The 19,834-nt window shown below is 40.5% G+C and overlaps 1 pseudogene across 1 annotated transcript, besides 2 other annotated features; it reads right to left on the bottom strand.

The window, feature by feature from the left end:
* Positions 3,190-4,389: an enhancer, noted in NCBI's record as "BRD4-independent group 4 enhancer chr7:20866537-20867736 (GRCh37/hg19 assembly coordinates)". NCBI's record gives its function as "activates an origin of replication core promoter dependent on BRD2, P300/CBP, MED14 and CDK7 cofactors, and independent of BRD4, by STARR-seq in HCT116 cells {active_cell/tissue: HCT116}" and the evidence as "EXISTENCE:reporter gene assay evidence [ECO:0000049][PMID:35650434]".
* Positions 3,487-4,009, bottom strand: RPL23P8 (ribosomal protein L23 pseudogene 8; annotated as a pseudogene). Its single transcript, NR_026673.1, has one exon. The product of NR_026673.1 is annotated as a ribosomal protein L23 pseudogene 8 (transcript).
* Positions 14,393-15,005: an enhancer, noted in NCBI's record as "NANOG hESC enhancer chr7:20855921-20856533 (GRCh37/hg19 assembly coordinates)". NCBI's record gives its function as "activates a minimal SCP1, AML or CMV promoter by ChIP-STARR-seq in primed H9 embryonic stem cells {active_cell/tissue: H9 hESC(primed)}" and the evidence as "EXISTENCE:reporter gene assay evidence [ECO:0000049][PMID:30033119]".

Genomic DNA, 19,834 nt, shown 5'->3' with positions numbered 1-19,834 from the left:
CAGGAAAATGGGTGGCTTGAACATACATGATTCAGTGTGGCAGCTGAGGAAAGCAAAGACGGGGTGTTGGCCCAGAGCTTTAAAAGGTTACTATGGATGTGAATGTTTTGTTGTTGTTGTTGTTTTGGGGATGGAGTCTCACTCTGTTGGCGAGGCTGGAGTGCAGTGGCATGATCTCGGCTCACTGCAACCTCTGCCTCCTGGGTTCAAGCAGGAGAATCGCTTGAACCCAGGAGGCGGAGGTTTTAGTGAGCCAAGATTGCACCACTGCACTCCAGCCTGGGCAACAGAATGAGATTCCATCTCAAAAAAAAAAGGAGAGAGAGAGAGAGATTTAACCTGAAGACTTGGCTTTTGCCCAGATCATACATCTCTCACTGTGACTGAAGGGTGTGAGATTCACCAGCTGTAGACAGATGTGCTGGCATCAGGTTGCCATGTCAATACCCTCTCTAGGCATTCATCGTAGGGAGCCATGGAGAAGCAGAACCTGCCTCAGCCTCCCGAGTAGCTGGGACTAGAGGCATGCGCCACCACGTCAGTCTAATTTTTGTATTTTTAGTAGAGACAGGGTTTCATCATGTTGGCCAGGCTGGTCTCAAACTCCTGACCTCAGGTGATCCACCCACCTTGGCCTCCCAAAGTGCTGGGATTATAGGCATGAGCAACCATGCCTGGGAATGTTTTTTATTCATTCAGTAAACAAATATTTATCAAGTTTGTTCAAAGAGCCAGGTCCTGTGTTGAGTCCATGGGACACAGTGTTAAGGTTCAGTTCTCCTAACCTTAAAATGGAACTTAAAATTCAAATAGAAAATGCCATGAGGCCAGGCATGGTGGCTCACGCCTGTAATACCAACACTTTGGGAGGCTGAGGTGGATGGATCACTTGAGGTCAGTAGTTTGACACAAGCCTGGCCAACATGGCAAAACTCTGTCTCTACTAAAAATACAAAAATTAGCCGGGACATGGTGGTATGTGCCTGTAATACCAGCTACTCGGGAGGCTGAGGCAGGAGAATTGCTTGAACCCAAGAGGCGGAGTGTAAGGTACATGGATGTGCTTTGGTCAAGGATAGGCCAAGGCAGACGTCAGGCCTCCATGACTCAGTGAGTCTGGTGCACAGGCGCACACCTCCACTTGTTATATAACCTGTCTGTGTAAGTTCATACTTGGCCCTAAGCCGCTATTGTCTGTAAGAGGTATAACTGTCCTGCTGATGCTCTACAGGGGCTCTTGGCTTGGTTCCTGTGGCTCAGCTCAGCTCAACATGGCTTGACATGGCAGGCACGCTGGCACCCAGAGAAAGAGAGAGAGAGAGCCAAAGCTGTCCGTCTGCAGGGGAGCCACAGCACAGTTTGTGCTAGTACCCAGAAAGAGAAAGAGTTAAGCTGCTGACCCTGAAGGCAAGGGAGATCCCGCTGCAGCTGCAGGCATGGGGGTGGCAGGAGTCTCAGAGCTGGAGCAAATAGCTGAGATAATGGTGGACAGTGTGAGAGAGCTAATGTGAGTATGCTACTGATGAGAAAGCTGCTGAATAAAACTCTATTTCACCTGCCTACGGCCCCCCAAGTACTCTTTCTGCCCATCCATCCACTCCCCTCATACTTCAGCATGGGCTGAACCCAGACCCTGGCATTTGGACCTAACACAGAGGTTGCAGTGAGCCGAGATTGTGCCACTGCACTCCAGTCCAGGTGACAGAGCACTCTGTCTCAGAAAAAAAAAAAAAATGCCATCAAAGAAAAAGAGAAAGGAAAGATAATAATCTCTAAAGAGTGATAAATGCTATGAAGAAAACAAAAGAGGGCAATTTGATAATAGCTGAAGTGAGAGATGAGAGAAATGGTACTCTAATTTCACAAGACCTCTCTGAGAAGGTGATATTAGAGTTTAGGCTTATTGACAGGATGGAGCCAGCCCCTCACAGAAAAATCTAGGAGAAATGCAAACAGCTGGAGCAAAGGACCTGCGACAAGAATGATTTTGGCCTATTTAAGTAACAGAAAGAAGGTGGTGAGGCCAGAAGAGAATGAGCCAGGAAGAAATCATTTAAGATAAAATGAGAAAGGGAGGAGGCTGTCACCAGATTTTAGCCTAGAAGAACTGAAACTCCTAATTTGATTCAAACCTCAGCTGCAACACTCAGCCTTAGGTGCTGACCAGGTGTAACTCACTGAACAACACCATTGTTGCCTCTGACAATTACCGCCACCAAGCTGATGAATTTGTAGTCAAGAGGCTCCCTAAATCAACACCGTTATGCCTTATTACCTCCAAGCAAATCAGCATAAAGGGATAGAACAGACCATTAAAAATGAGCCAACAGTTTGCTAGGTGACTGTTCAATAAGATTAGTTAGCTCTTACGTGGATCAGCTTCCTGTATGTTCACCATTAGGAGCCTGTCCCATTTAATAATTCTGGGGGCTCTGCATAAAGGTTTGCCTCCATCCTGACCATGTCGATTCAGAGCCAGGACAAAATAAGAATGCACTTTGAATGCTGCTCTTAAGAGAATTAACCAGGTTGGGTGCGGTGGCTCATGCCTGTAATCCCAGCACTTTGTGAGGCCAAAGCAGGTGGATCACTTGAGGTCAGGAGCTTGAGACCAGCCTGGCCAACATGGTGAAACCCCATCTCTACTAAAAATACAAAAATTAGCCAGGCATGGTGGCAGGTGCCTGAAATGCCAGCTACTTGGGAGGCTGAAGCAGGAGAATCACTTGAACCCAGGAGGTGGAGGTTGCAGTGAGCCAAGATTGCACCACTGCACTCCAGCCTGGGCAACAGAATGAGATTCCATCTCAAAAAAAAAAAAAAAAAAAAAAAGAGATGAGAGAGAGATTTAACCTGAAGACTTGGCTTTTGCCCAGATCATACATCTCTCACTGTGACTGAAGGGTGTGAGACTCACCAGCTGTGGACAGATGTGCTGGCATCAGGTTGCCATGTCAATACCCTCTCTAGGCATTCATCGTAGGGAGCCATGGAGAAGCAGAACCACCTGACATGCCTCCTTCAGTGTTTTCTAGTGGTGTTCCTTTGACCAGAGTTCCTGAGCACTGAAAAGAAGCAGAATATGAAGGAAGAAATATGTCTTCCTTGGCCACTTTCGCTGCTTAAGGTAGGCATTGGACTCACAATCATTTAATCATCACACAGAGCAGTTTCTTAAACACATACTCTTCTTTTGGATAAAAAACTCAGAGAAATGGTCATGCCACATAGACAAACATGTCTATTGGTGTTAGGATAAGAGTTTTTTTCCCTGTGGATTATTTTAGCTGTAGGCTACTCATGAATTCCCCTCCATTCTTGCCCCAGAGCTCTCCTACTTTTGAATGAATAGTGAAGGTTTAACAATTACCTGTTCACTGTTGCCTCAGTCCCTCAAAAATAATTTTGTAGGACATTAAAATAACATAAGTATTTACAAATCGGCTTCTATTAAAGTGTTTTGACACTACTCTTTTTTTTTCTGGGAACAAATACTTTTTAATGGGTTTAAAATTTTTTTGTTTGTTTTGTTTTGCTTTTACAAATATACTGGAGAATCACGCAATGCTGCCAGCATCGGACACAATCCGGGGGCCACAAGTCTGCACACTCCTTTGCTACTGGTCCTGTAATGGCAGAACCTTTCATCTGGCCTTTATTGCCCACTATGACCACTGCATTATCTTCAAAAGAAAGAAACACGCCATCTTTTCTCTGGTATGACTTTCATTGTCAAATGACCACTGCTGGATGTACCTTTTTTCTGAGCTCTAGTTTCCCTTTCTTGACTGTAGCCATCCCCATGTCACCCACACCAGCAGCGGGAAGTCTGTTCAGCCGTCCCTTGATCCCCTTCACGGAGATGATATACAGGTTTTTGGCTCCTGTGTTGTCAGCACAGTTGATCACAGCTCCTACCGGAAGACCCACAGAAATCCGGAAGTTCACACCAGAGGACCCACCACGTCCTCGCTTCCACATCTTGAACGCTGGAAAGAAGGAAAAAGGACATAGATTTTGACTCTATTCTTAAACAAATTATAGGCAAATTTATCCTGTTTTTAAAAAAAGAATAGAGTTCTCACCTCTACGATCAGCAACTCCACATATTCAGAACTTTGAATATCTTTGCCAATTTGTTAAAGTATAAGCACCAGAAATAGGCTCATGAGAAAAAAAGTATGTGGCTAGTAACGAGTCTAGTAATATTCTTTAAAAATTCAAAACTACGGTATTCTCTAGTACTGAATATTTGCAACATGTTCATGAAAAAAAGACTTATACAATCTAATATGATTAAAACTCACTTCAAGATTAAAATGTTCATTTAAGTGGTTCATATTGCCTGACCTTCCTTCGGAAAGTCTAAGGCTTTTTATGGAAAAGCCCTTCTTAGAACTCCCTAAATTGAATAGTCACCGTTGAATAGCCATTTTCTACATTCCACTCAGTCAGGTTGGCCTGAGGTTTTCAGATGTCATCAGCTTGTCCGGCAAAAACATGCCTCTTTGGATTGCTCCTTCCTGCTCCGTGAACATGTAAAGTTAAAGCCACCCTTTCAATGGAGCTTCCTTCTCTGGGAAGGTTGGCCTGGTCCCTTTCCTTCCTAAGGGCAGGACCATCACCACCTGTGAAGAAAGATGGAAAGGGATAGGAGAGGGAAAAAGAAATTCCCTGCCCCAGGCTTACATAAGGAAGGGGAAAATTTCTCTTTTCTTAGCAATTCAGAGATCCTGACTGGCATCACCTCCCAGGACTCCAAAAGCTTCCTTTCTTGTTATAATCCTCTTAAGTTCTTTTTTTCCCATTCCCCCTGTGATTCTGTCAGTGTTTCCCACTCATTCTTACTGGGCTTGGCGCCCCTCCTCCACACTGCAAACCTCACCCAGAAACAGGGAAAGAGGCCTGGGGGCTTTCAAGTTTATGGCCCATTATAGGTGCATGCTGGGAGGTGTTGAGCAGGGCTGCGGAACTAATCAGTTATCTTAACACTGCGGACAGTAGGGCTAGCATTTGTGAATTACCAAATGTCACTGCCTATTTCAACTGTGGAAAAAAAAATCAGCTTTATGAATTACTGATCAGTGCTTTGAATCCCCCCCTCAAAAAATCTACAAAATCACCTACCAGAGCTAACCAATTAAAGAAAGAAAGAAAGCAAAAACTCAAAAGAAAATTCTTTGCTCAGTGAACAAAACTAAAGGCAAAGTAAATCAATGCTATTGCAGAAATTGTAAATGAAACAAAGAGACGTGCTTTATGTTCCAATGAGGCTCATATGAAACCGACACTAAGATTCCATACTCAGGGTTAATCACAAAACCATAGAATATGGATTAAGCTACTGTGAAAGGTAAAATACAAAGCAACAGAATAGAGAAATTTTAATCAGGAACAAAGATCGCCATAATCCCCAAATGGGTTTGTTTTTGAAAGAAGAGACATTTGTAGAGGACAAACATTCTTAAAACAATAGGAGTGGTGTGTAAAATTAACCCAAGTAAGATCTAGGCTAATGTTGGGGTGAATCAGGGTAGGTACTTTCCACAAGTCATGTGTTTTGCACAAGACTGACTCTATGCATCTGTTCACTACGGTCTAATCTTTCTAAAATTAGAATGCAGTTCTTTGAAGGCAAGAATTTCTTCTTTATGCTTTATAGCTTCTTGTACCCAAGGATTATCTAATTTTAGAAAATTAGTCCACTCTCCTAATACTATCTTTTTTTTTTTTTTTTGAGGCAGAGTCTTGCTCTGTTGCCCAGGCTGGAGTGCAGTGACGTGATCTCAGCTCACTGCAACCTCCGCCTCCCAGGTTCACGCCATTCTCCCACCTCAGCCTCCAGAGTAGCTGGGACTACAGGCACTCGCCACCACGCCTGGCTAATTTTTTATGTTTTTAGTAGAGACGGGGTTTCACTGTGTTAGCCAGGAAGGTCTCGATCTCCTGACCTCGTGATCTGCCCACCTCCGCCTCCGAAAGTGCTGGGATTATAGGTGTGAGCCACCGCACCTGGCAATACTATCTTATTTTTTTTGGACATCCTTACAGTATTATTATTACTGTAAAGCTCCTCTTCCGCTCGGTTTTTTTCCTAAAGATTGATAGAAAATTCCACATAAATAGTGCAAAAATAAAAATCATAGGCAACTATAAGAAATAATTATTGTTTGACAATAATCACACCAATTCAACGATAATAACAGAGTATATTATGAGAAAAAATAAGTTTTTTTTTCTTTTCCTGAGAAGAGACAATATGTTTGCAGGTATCTTCTCACCGACCAAAGTAGGCACACCTCTGTGGGACAAACAAGCTCATTTTGTCAAGAGACTTGTTTATAGAATCATTGTAAAAAAAAAAAAAAAAATTAGGATTATTTCTCCAAAGAATACCTCCAACATTTTCGAGAATCTTGGATGGAAAAGCCAGTACTACAATAAACAAATGTAAATTTTAATGTAGCTTTTTCTTCTTCTTCTTCTTCTTCTTCTTCTTCTTCTTCTTCTTCTTTTTTTTTTTTTTTTTTGAGACAGAGTCTCACCCTGTTGCCCAGGCTGGAGTGCAGTGGTGTGATCTCAGCTCACTGCAACCTCCACCACTTGGGTTCAAGCGATCCTTCTGCCTCAGCCTCCTGAGTAGCTGGGATTACAGGCATGCACCACCATGCCTGGCTAATTTTTGTATTTTTAGTAGAGACAAGGTTTTGCCATGTTAGCCAGTTTGGTCTCCAATTCCTGGCCTCAAGCAATCCACCCACCTCAGCCTCCCAAAGTGCTGGGATTACAGGCATGAGCCACAACTCCTGGGGTTAATGTAGCTTTTTCTATAAGAATAAGAATAAATTCTAAGAAATTAACATAACTTGTGGGAAACCAGTATGTTAGCAACATAGGAAATTTGGTAAGTTCCAGACAAGAAGCTAAAAATGTGTAACTATGTGGATCATGGTAATGAAAGCATGGGGTTTAACTATATTATTCATTTCTGTGACAAAGTCTGTTATAATTATCATCACATTTTAGTTAGCTTGGCAGATCACACTTTGAACTCTCTAGGATAGGCTGGAAAAGTAAACTGGAAAGTAAAGAACAGTGTCTTTGTAAGAAGGCCAACTCCTTGTTGAGCCAATATACATAATATCCTGTAAAGAATGGACCGCTGACCGGGCGTGGTGGCTCACAACTATAATCCCAGCACTTTGGGAGGCCGAGGTGGGCGGATCACCAGAGGTTGGGAGTTTGAGACCAGCCTGATCAACACGGAGAAACCCCGTCTCTACTAAAAATACAAAATCAGCTGGGTGTGGTGGCACATGCCTGTAATCCCAGCTACTCAGGAGGCTGAGGCAGGAGAATTGCTTGAACCCAGGAGGTGGAGGTTGCGGTGAGCTGAGATTGTGCCATTGCACTCCAGCCTGGGCAACAAGGGCGAAATTCTGTCTCAAAAAAAAAAAAAGAATGGACCGCTAACACTTAAGTGATAATAATACTGTAATAATAAAAATCTTGCATTTATAGAAAGCTTTACACTTCTCAAGTGCATTTATTTTAGCTTATTTGATATCCCCAAATCATGAGTATTCGTCTTTTGACACTGAGGAAAATGTATTCTTCGTTCAAAAGACTCTTGGGCTATCTTGCTTTGTGCAAGAAAACAGTACAAGTCAGCGAGTACTTTACTCCCAAGCATGAATTTTGCTTTCCTCATAGCACAATATAATAGGAATCCAACAGAATATGAAAGCAGGTTTAAATTGCTATGAATCAGTAAAAGAAAACCCTTATTGAAATCACAAATTATTTATCTTAGAGATATAATTCTCCAAATGAATAAAATAATATATTTGATGGAAACTGCTAGCTGTCTACCAAAATCTATTTTCCTTCTTTTCCTGGGCATATGACTACCAGGGTAGATCACATTTTCCAGCATCCTTTGTGGTTACTTGTTGTTATAGAACATGAGAAGTAATCAATTCTACTACTTGGCCTGAGCTGTAGGGCCCAGGGTATGTTTCTTCCTGTTCTCTATTCCTTTTTCACTTGAAGGAAATGACTGGCAATCTCACTTTGCCATGCATATGGGCAACAGTGCCCTAGGGGTTGGTTGTGCAAGCTGAAGGAAGGTACCTGAGTCTTTGACTGATATCAGGGAGCCAAGCTGCCCTGGACCGTTCTCTGTATACAGTGAGTAAGAGAAACTTTTGCTTTCTTTAAGCAATTGTATTTAGCATCTGTTTGCTATATCAGCTTATCTTTACTCTAATATAGTTTCCTTAAATAGAAAGATTTTTATCATAAGAATGAACGTCATGTATCTGTGAAGATGTAGATAAAAATATAAGGGATACAGCTCATCCTTGTCAAATGGAGCAAAGGTCACACATCCATGGTGGTATCCAAACCATGCTTAATAAAAACCAATTCAGTTAGTCATCCATGAATGCTTATAAGTTTCAGTAATAGTAATAAGTGAATTTGTGTCATCTTGAGCAATTAAATACATAGTGTATGAAATGAAATGAAACCAAGAAACAAAGGGAATAACATGTTATCAACATCTCACATATTGAAGAGATTTGGATTTCATCTGAAAATTCCTGACATTTGGTAAGTTGACGGAGTGAAATAGTCAGTCAGGATTTTTACAATGACCTCCACATTTATCCAGAAAGTAGCCTGTGTAGATGTAAAGCCTCAGAAATAACACCACACATCTACAGCCATCTGATCTTTGACAAACCTGACAAAAATAAGAAATGGGGAAAGGATTCCCTATTTAATAAATGGTGTTGGGAAAACTGGCTAGCCATATGTAGAAAGCTGAAACTGGATCCCTTCCTTACACCTTATACAAAAATTAATTCAAGATGGATTAAAGACTTAAATGTTACACCTAAAACCATAAAAACCCTAGAAGAAAACCTAGGCAATACCATTCAGGACATAGGTATGGGCAAGGACTTCATGTCTAAAACACCAAAAGCAATGGCAACAAAAGCCAAAATTGACAAATGGATCTAATTAAACTAAAGAGCTTCTGCACAGCAAAAGAAACTACCATCAGAGTGAACAGACAACCTACAGAATGGGAGAAAAATTTTGCAATCTACCTATCTGACAAAGGGGTAATATCCAGAGTCTACAAAGAACTTAAACAAATTTTCAGGGAAAAAAAAAAAACCATCAAAAAGTGGGCAAAGGATATGAACAGACACTTCTCAAAAGAAGACATTTATGCAGCCAACAGACACATGAAAAAATGTTCATCATCAATGGTCGTCAGAGAAATGCAAATCAAAACCACAATGAGATACCATCTCACACCAGTTAGAATGACGATCATTAAAAAGTCAGGAAACAACAGATGCTGCAGAGGATGTGGAGAAATAGGAACGCTTTTACACTGTTGGTGGGAGTGTAAATTAGTTCAACCATTGTGGAAGGCAGTGTGGCGATTCCTCAAGGATCTAGAACTAGAAATATCATTTGACCCAGCGATCCCATTACTGGGTATATACCCAAAGGATTATAAATCATGCTGCTATAAAGACACATGCACATGTATGCTTATTGCAGCACTATTCACAATAGCAAAGACTTGGAACCAACCCAGATGCCCATCAATGATAGACTGGATTAAGAAAATGTGGCACATATACACCTTGGAATACTATGCAGCCATAAAAAAGGATGAATTCATGTCCTTTGCAGGAACATAGATGAAGCTGGAAATCATCATTCTCAGCAAACTATCACAAGGACAGAAAACCAAACACCGCAAGTTCTCACTCATAGGTGGGAATTGAACAATGAGAACACTTGGACACAGGGAGGGGAATATCACACACTGGGGCCTGTCATGCGGTGGGGGGAGGGGAGATATACCTAAGGTAAATGACGAGTTAATGGGTACAGCACACCAACATGGCACATGTATACATATGTAACAAACCTGCACGTTGTGCACATGTACCCTAGAACTTAAAGTATAATAATAAAAATTAAAAAATTAAAAAAAAAAGGACCCATTCCAAATGCAAAAAAATAAAATAAAATAAAAAATAAAAAGAGGTTATTCAATATAAGCCTACCTCATAAATAATAACATCAGCTAATGTTATTAATTATTAATATTAGTAATTATAAAATAACAACATTATTGTTGATTATAATAGCAATAATATAATTAATATTAAATACTGGGTGATTATTAACTGCCAGGCATTATTCTAAATATTTTACATGTATTGATTCATGTTATTCTCATAACATCCTTGTCAATAAGTGGAAGAGCCAAGACACAGTCCAGACAGTCGGGTCTTCTTAACCACAACCCTATTCTGTATTATAGGGAATAGAATATTAAAAATAATAAGATTAAGATATTATTTTAGAATATTATATATTAAAATATTTTTAAAAATAATAATTATACCTTGTTATACATTGCAGAATGCTTTCAGATCTCATATTAAGCTGAATTCTCACAGCTTCATTAGGTAGAAAATATTATATATATTTCACAGATTATAAAACATTTGAAGAATTCCATCATTTGCCCAATGTTATTTAACAAAAGTGCGACACACCAACAGCATAGATTTGGAACCTACATTTTCTAACCCAACTCTATCCTCTTTCATTTCAACAAGTTGTCAGAATTTTATTTGTCCAAAATGTAATGTCTGGTAATTAATATTTTTCTTTTTGTTGTTGTTTCCTGTGCACATAACATAGTGCCTGGCACATAGGTGAGAATCAGTAAATATTTGTTGAGGCCGGGCATGTTGGCTCACACATTTGAGAGGCCAAGGTGGGAGGACTGCTTGAACCCAGGAGTTTTTTTTTTTGTTTTGTTTTTGAGACGGAGATTCTCTCTTGTTGCCCAGGCTGGAGTGCAATGGTGTCATCTCGGCTCACTGCAACCTCCGCCTCCTGGGTTCAAGCGATTCTCCTGCCTCAGCCTCCTGAGTAGCTGGGATTACAGGCGTGCACCACCATGCCTGGCTAATTTTGTATTTTTTAAATAGAGACGGGGTTTCTCCATGTTGGTCAGGCTGGTCTTGAACCCTCAACCTGTCAGGCGATCCGCCTGCCTCGGGCTCCCAAAGTGCTGGGATTACAGGGGTGAGCCACCACGCCTGGCAAGCCTAGGAGTTTTAGACCAGCCTGCACAAAATGGCGAGACCCTGCCTCCTCAAAATTTTTTAGAAAAATTAGCCAGGCATGGTGGCACACACCTGGAGTCCTACCTATGCAACAGGCTGAGATGAGAGGTTTGCTTGAGCCCAGAAGGTCAAGGCTACAGTGAGCTCTGTTGGCACCACTGCACTCCAGATGTGATGAAAGAGCCAGACCCTATCTCAAAAATAAATAAATAAATAAATAAAATATTGATTGAATGAATGCGTGAATGAATGAATTGGGCCTGGAAGGTTGAGTAGAATTTTGACTTAACTTGCCCAAGTTTGGAGGCATGGGCTAAGGGGGATAGTTCTCAGAACTTACAGAAGTGCCTTAGTCTGCGTTTGTAGAAGCTGTTTGTTTAGCATCTGGAAAAGAGGCCTACAGATATACTCAAATGAAATTAAAACATTTGTCCTCAAAAAACCTTGTACCTGAATGTTCATAGCAGCATTATGAACGACACACCGAAATAAAATAGCTGATTCTCACCTGCGTGCCAGACATTATGCTATGTGCACAAGAAACAACAAAAAGAAAAATAATAATTATCAAACATTACATTTTGGACAAATAAAATTCTGATAACTTGTTGAAATGAAGGAGGATGGACCTGGGTTAGAAAATTCAGGTTCCGATTCAATGCTCTTGGTATGTCATCCTTTTTGGTTAAAATAACCAAAAGTTCTGGTCCGAGTGCAGTGGTGTTTATAACAAATTGATTACAACCAGTCACAGATTTCTTTCTTTCTTTTTTTTTTCTTAGACGGAGTCTCGCTCTGTCGCCCAGGCTGGAGTGCAGTGGCGCAGGATCTCCGCTCACTGCAACCTCCTTCTCCTGTGTTCAAGTGCTTATCCTGCCTCAGCCTCCTGAGTAGCTGGGATTACAGATGTGTGCCACCAAACCCGGCTAATTTTTGTATTTTTAGCAGAGACAGGGTTTCACCATGTTGTCAGGCTGGTCTCGAACTCCTGGCCTTGTGATCCACCTGCCTCAGCCTCCGAAAGTGTTGGGATTACAGGCCTGAGCCACCGCGCCCGGCCCCAGTCACAGATTTCTTTGTTCCTTCTCCACTCCCACTGCATCACTTAACTAGCCTTAAAAATTTTTTTAATAAAATTAAAAAAAAACAAAAGGTGGAAACAACCAAAATGCCCATCAACTGATGCATGGATGAGCAAAATTTCATATATCCATATTAATATTATTAATGGAATTAATATTAACAACATTATTCATTCATTAAAGGAGACAAAGTACTGATACGTTATACAACATAGATAAACCTTGAAAATGTTATGCTAAGTGAAAGGAACCTGTCACAAATGCCACATATTATATGATTCCATTTATTTGAAATGTCCAGAATAGGCAAATCTAGAGATAGAAAGTAGTTTAGGGCATAGGATGTAAAGGATATTTTATATCTCATGTCTGATATGCATGCACTTATTAGGAGGTTGTATTCAGTTCCATTCATTTATTGTTGGCTCTGCAACAAGTGACAGGCTTGATCTTGTGACATGGCAAGATATTTTTTTAAAGACATCTATTGATTGCTTTGGGCTGGTGGAGATGGGAACATGAGGAATTTGCATGGTGGTAGCTAAAGAGTATGGGTTTTTTGAGGGAGATTAAAACATGTCTAAAATTGATTGTGATAATGGTAGTACAACCCTGTGATACATTAAAAACCATTGAATTGTGTGAGAAACAAACTCACCTGTCCAAACCCAAAGAATAGACTCAGAGAACCAGAGAACAGCAAAAGTGAGACTTTTAATGACAGTCTTGCGAGATCAGGTGTCTGATGGACAGGCATACCCAGCATGGTTTCAACAAGCAATATATCCCCTAATGCACAGGTCCCTCCCCTAGTTCCTCATAGACTGAGTACTATGGGGTTACAATCTTCCCGGATGTCATCGATTGGTTTTTGGGTAGGGGCTTTAGGTGTTTTCTTTAGGGTTGTCCTGATGCATTTTGTTGCAGCCCACAATACATTGCAATCCTAGTCAACTCAGGAGCTCTTAAGTATTTGACTTATAACCTAAGTAGCTGGGCAGGCTAATAAGAACAGACAAAGTGAGCTATCTTGCAGGCTAGTAAACTTTCATCTTAGACTAAATTTCTTTGGTTGGGCTAGGGGCAACTAATGGGTTGGGGGGTGGCGGGGACTGACAAGCAGGCATTGGTTATCCAAGCAGAGGCCTAGTATATCTTGTTTCCTCTGTAGTTTGCTGACCTGAGCCAATTTGAGGCACTTTGTCTTGAAAACGGACCGCTATATACATTATTTGCTTCAAATTGTATGTTTTATTTTATTTATTTATTTATTTATTTATTTAGAGATAGGATCTTACTCTGTCACCCAGGATAGAGTGCAGTGGAGTGTTCACGGCTCACTGCAGCCTTGACCTCTGGGCTCAGGTGATCCTCCCACTTCAACTTCCCAACTAGCTGAGACTACAGGCATGTACCACCAGCCCTAGCTAATTTTTGTATTTTTCGTAGAAACAGGGTTTCGCCATGTTGCCCAGGCTGGTCTTGAGCTCCTGACCTCAAGCGATCCTCCCACCGCAGCCTCCCAAAGTGCTGGGATTACAGGTGTGAGCCACCAGTGTTCGGCCTGAATTGTATACTTTAAATGGGTGAATATTATGGTATATGAGTTATAGTTCAAAAAAGCTATTACATGAACAAAAGAGTTGATTAGGAAAGTCCAAGGAAAGGACAGAAGTAAAAACAATCCTTTTTAAAAAGTTTTCTTTAGCTGTCCTTTAGGAGGTCACATTTCTGAAGAAATGCCTAATTTGTTTTCCTTTATTTTACAAACTCTCAGAAATCTAGTTTGCTCTCATATCTTAAAATATATTTAAGAAGAGCAAAATAACTTAGAAGATTGCTCTAAACTGGTAGTGAGATTGATGTTCAAATGATATTTATTCAAATATTAAATAATAAATACAATTATTTTAAATTTTAAAAGGAGCAATTGCAGAATAAATTTTACTCTTTTTTAATGTTTTGATTAAAAATATATGTATTTCAAATTAAATGATAAGACCATGGCACAAAATACCAAAATCAAAGTCAACAGCTATTTAATTGGCCACATAAATTGGCTTCCTGTTGCTTTGAGAACATAAAAAGTTTAAAGTGGATTTTGATAAACTTGTACATTCCATTTGAAATGACAATATTATGGTTAATGCAAAACCACAATGTTCATTGGCTTCGATAGGTCACTTTACAAATAAAAGCCACTGGTCTCTCAGCAAAACACAGATGGTACAGTGAAAACAGATCAACACTTCCTCTGTGTCACTGGCTGCAGCAGGAACTTCTGAGATTCTCCTCCAAAGGTCTCATGAAGTATTTGGTTGGAATTGCAAAATCACAGCCAGGGATCTGGCAATAATTCAAAATAGCTTTACGAAGGATTATACGTTGGGACCAGGCTAAATTTTTTGAAAGATTGTTTTTCGATCCTGAGATATGCTCAGTCACTTTAATCTAGCCTCTATGTCTTAGAATTTGATTGCTGTGGTTGTTGCCACTTCATTATAAATGAGAAAGGTATTCAGTCATGCTGAATGAGGACATTTATATGTAAATAGAAGATGTTTTGCTTTGGCAATACCACTATTCCTGGGATTGAAGTGTATATGATTTTCCAAGTGCTACACTAGCCACTAAAAAAAAAAAAAGAAAAAAATCATGATTTAAAAAGAACCAAAAACACTATGTATTTTGAATATTAATGTCTTTTTATTTTATGTCCCATAGTTAGTGTTTGGAAAGGAACAAAAGAATTAGAAGCAGTCTGCCTTACATAAATGATTGCATATGTTCATCCAAACCATTATTTTACAATTATTATTTAAAGAGAAATACCTTCATCAAAATATTTCACCAAGCATGTCTTGTCGACAATCCCAGTGTTTAATTAGGTTATTTTTCTAAAACAACATGATAAACCTTGTCTAATTTTGCAAATTAACTCAAAGTCTGATCTAACAACTTAACCAGAAGTGACAAAAGTTAAAAGTGATATGGATAAGAATTATTAGACTCTGATTTAAAAATTAAATTATAGGTCATTACAGATCTCAAGTTCATCATGTTCATTCAATTCATTTGAATATTCAATTAGTATTTTCCATGTCCAAGGCAAGATAATGTATGGTAGGAAGAAAATAAAAAAGCATAAGACACTGTCATACTCTCAAAGAACTTTCAAACCACCGACTGGGCGTGGTGGCTCACGCCTGTAATCCCAGCACTTTGGGAGGCCGAGGCGGGCAGATCACGAGGTCAGGAGATCGAGACCATCCTGGCCAACATAGTGAAACCCCATCTCTACTAAAAATACAAAAATTAGCCGGGCATGGTGGCGCATGCCTGTAATCCCAGCTACTCGGGAGGCTGAGGCAGGAGAATCCCTTGAACCAGGGAGTTGGAGGTTGCAGTGAGCGGAGATCGCGCCACAGCACTCTAGCCTGGCAACAGAGTGAGACTCCGTCTCAAAAAAAAAAAAGAACTTTCAAACCAATGGAGGAAACAAACAAGTAAGTTCTAGAAGGTGAATAGTCTTAGCCTCTACGTAATTCTCCAAACACCATCTTTGACTCATACTTTTTTTTTGTTTGTTTGTTTTGAGACGGAGTCTCACTCTCTCACCCAGGCTGGAGTGCAGTGGCGCGATCTCGGCTCACTGCAAGCTCCGCCTCCCTGGTTCACGCCATTCTCCTGCCTCAGCCTCTGGAGTAGCTAGGACTACAGGCACCCGCCACCACGCCCCGCTAATTTTTTTGTATTTTTAGTAGAGACGGGTTTTCACCGTGTTAGCCAGGATGGTCTCGATCTCCTGACCTCTTGATCCGCCCACCTCAGCCTCCCAAAGTGCTGGGATTAGAGGCGTGAGCCCCCGCGCCCGGCATCTTTGACTCATACTTACACACATCATTTAGAACTCAGATGTACTTTCATGGGAAGCAAATATTTCAAATTTCTATCAAATATTTTTTCTTCAAGAGTTATTTTAACCACTCGTGAGAAATTTTGTTTTAAAAATTCTTAGAACAATATAAAATATCTAGTATCAAAACGTAAGTAATCAAATGATCATTTGTAGCTGAAATTTTAGAGTTAAAATATTGGGATTCTAATGGAGTTTATGACTAAGATATGCATCATTATTCAATGAAAATATTCTACATTGTATTTTCTTACTAATAAGTTCCTTTTTGTACTTTCAGGGTCTCAATAACCCTTACTTTGTTTACATAATAGAGAAAACATATATATATATCATTTTACATATATAGCATCATATATATTTTATATATATATATATATATATATATATATATATATTTTTTTTTTTTTTTTTTTTTTTTGAGACATGGTCTTGCTCTATCCCCAGGCTGGAATGCAGTGGTGATCTCAGCTCACTGTAACCTCAGCCTCCTGGACTCAAGGGATTCTCCCACCTCAGACTAACCAAGTAGCTGGGACTACAGGCAGACACCTGGGTGTGGACCTAGCTAATTTTTGTATTCTTGGTAGTGACAGGGTTTTGCCATGTTGGCCAGGCTGGCCTCAAGTGATCTGCCTGCCTCAACCTCCCAAAATGCTAGGATTACAGGAATGATCCACTGCGCCTAGTGGAAAAATAATATTTATCACACTTAATTATTAGGTATTGCATACTACTTAAAAATAACATTTAATGAACACTTTTGGAAATGATGTTACTAACTTACTCACAATTTTTGAGACTCTGTATACATTTTCTTTTTTTGTTTGTTTTTTGTTTTTCCTTCTGTCGCCCAGGCTAGAGTACAGCGGTGCGATCCCAGCTCACTGCAACCTTTGCCTCCCAGGTTCAAGTGATTCTTGTGCCTCAATCTCCCAAGTAACTGGGATTTCAGGTGTGCACCACCACCTCTGGCTAATTTAGTAGAGACAGAGTTTTGCCGTGTTGGCCAGACTGGTCTAGATCTCCTGGCCTCATGTGATCCACCCGCCTCAGCCTCCTAAGGTGCTAGGATTACAGGTGTGAGCCACTGTGCCCGGCTCTCTGTGTACATTTTCCTTTGGTGCTACAACAAATTTCTAGGTACAAATTGAAAAAAAAAATGAAAGGAGTTTTAGACTGTTCACAACCAGATGGGTGAAATCTAACAAACTCCTAATGTCCCAGTTATTACATTCTCTAGACTTCCCTAGGAAACCTCACAGTAGCTTCAAGAATGGAAAGACAGTAGGTAAGTCACCATCTCCAGATGCATTTTCTGAAAGTGAGAGGAATACCAAAGTGAGACATGCCAGGAGAGAAATAGCACAATCCTGAGGGACACCACTCTAGAGGGAAGATGTGGAAAAAGTGCTGGTGTGCACTGCCTGCTATCTTCTCTGCATGAATTAATGACCAACATGTACAGAGCACTTAGGTGCCAAACATTCTGCTTTGGGTACTTATAATGGTTTCTGTTACTTAATCATCACAACAACTATATGAAATTGATTACTGCTGTATTTTATCATTCTTGTAGATGAGGAAACTGAACACTAGATAGTTAAATAACTTGCCAGAGATGACTACAAACGAGAGCCAACACTCAAACCACTGCACTCTCAGCCAGTACACTCCACTTTAAATTTTTCACGTCAGGGACGTTATCAGCCATGTGGTCACACCATGCCTTTTCATGGCGTTCCAGTATCTGGAATTCACAAGGACAGTGGACAGACTGGGGCAGCACACACAAGCTGATGAAGAGACATTATGAGATCAGTAAGGAGATCCCATATTCCTCCTGTTTATACAAGTGTGAAGAAACTGGGGCCAGAGGTAGCGTGGTATCACAGATAGGGCATGTAATTTGTAGTCATGTTACCCAGGTGCCTCCAGGAAACGGACTCCAGAAAATTAACCCCAGGCTGCTTCTCACTTGAAAACTGCATCCAAAGCCAACAAGGCAATTGCCCTAGCAACTAGAAACTCCAATTATTAAGATGAGATTGGAATATTGTCCCCAAAGTCTGAAAACAATTAAGGGTCCCAAGAGGCCTACTGCATGGAAACATATTGCCCTTTTCCGGGAGAAGGTTTTTAAAAAAGGGTCATACCAACTGGACGCGGTGGCTCATGCCTGTGATCCTAGCACTTTGGGAGGCCGAGGCAGGTGGATCATCTGAAGTCAGGAGTTTGTGACTAGCCTGGCCAACATCATGAAACCTCGTCTCTACAAAAAATACAAAAATTAGCCAGGCATGGTGGCGGGCACCTGTAATCCCGCTACTCAGGAAGCTGAGGCAGGAGAATTGCTTGACTCCAGGAGGCGGAGGTTGCAGTGAGCCAAGATCGCGTCACTGCTGGTCTCAAAAAAGCATAGTCTCAAAAAAGAGTCATGCCAATGCAATCTGCCTCGAGCCAGGTCTCAGAGAGAAAAGGGCAAGTCCTAGAGGAGAGGTCCTTCGCTCCTGGATAGTCTAGGATGTAATGGCTTAAACCAGGCCTGACTCTCCTTGAACACACCCAGGGGCTTTTCTTCTGATAGCCTTGTTAATATGTTATGCCCTTAATCACATTGTGTTACAAATGCGTAAAGATAGACCTCCTCACTGGACTGCTTAAGGGCAAGGACTGTATCCTTTCAAGTTTGGATACCCAGTACCAGACAGTGTGCCTATCACATGATGAGCAGTCTGTTGTTGAATAAATGAACAAATAAACCAATCAAAGCAAATCAATGAAGGAAAGTCATAGTGACCCTGTAGCAAACAACGTAATCAAACCTGCAGCTGTTTAGGATTCAAAAGTATGACCCATTTGGGCACAAAGTTATCAATGACTAACTACATATTTAAGTTGTTTTGATTTTTTTTTTTGAGATGGAGTTTCGCTCTTGTTGCCCAGGCTGGAGTGCAATGGCGCGATCTCGGCTCACCACAATCTCCACCTCCCAGATTCAAGCAATTATCCTGCCTCAGCCTCCCGAGTCACTGGGATTACAGGCATGCACCACCACGGCCGGCTGATTTTGAATTTTTAGTAGAGAAGGGGTTTCTCCATGTTGGTCAAGCTGGTCTTGAACTCTCGACCTCAAGTGATCTGCCCGCCTCGGCCTTCCAAAGTGCTGGGATTACAGGCAGGAGCCACCACGCCCGGCCATATTTAAGTTTTGAAACAATGTTTTATGACTATTCAGCTGCACTTATGATAGTGCTAAAATGATGAAGTTAAAATGAATTGACACAAATAATGCACTATGCTAGAACAGAAGGAAATGTTTTTTAAAGACAAATTATATAGACTATAACAAACTATACAGCTTCTTCAAACCTCAGTCTTTTCATCTGCCAAATGGAAATAATAATAATACACCATCTTCATCAAAGGTTTTATAAAATTATACACACACACACACACAATTTAAGCTTGACAAATGAAAGTGCTATATAATTAGAACTAATATTCCATTTACCTCCTCAGAACATCAGAAACTAGTTACCTATTCTTGCATAATATATAATTAGGATACTTATGAAGAATTTAGTTCTGTTCTGAATTTAGTTCTGTCATTATGCTGAAGAGAATAATGGCTCATAATTTGTTTGTTTATAAAAATAGAT

Source organism: Homo sapiens, chromosome 7, assembly GCF_000001405.40.
Source record: "Homo sapiens chromosome 7, GRCh38.p14 Primary Assembly".
Lineage (NCBI taxonomy): Eukaryota > Metazoa > Chordata > Mammalia > Primates > Hominidae > Homo > Homo sapiens.
This window is presented reverse-complemented; position numbering and strand designations above follow the sequence as displayed.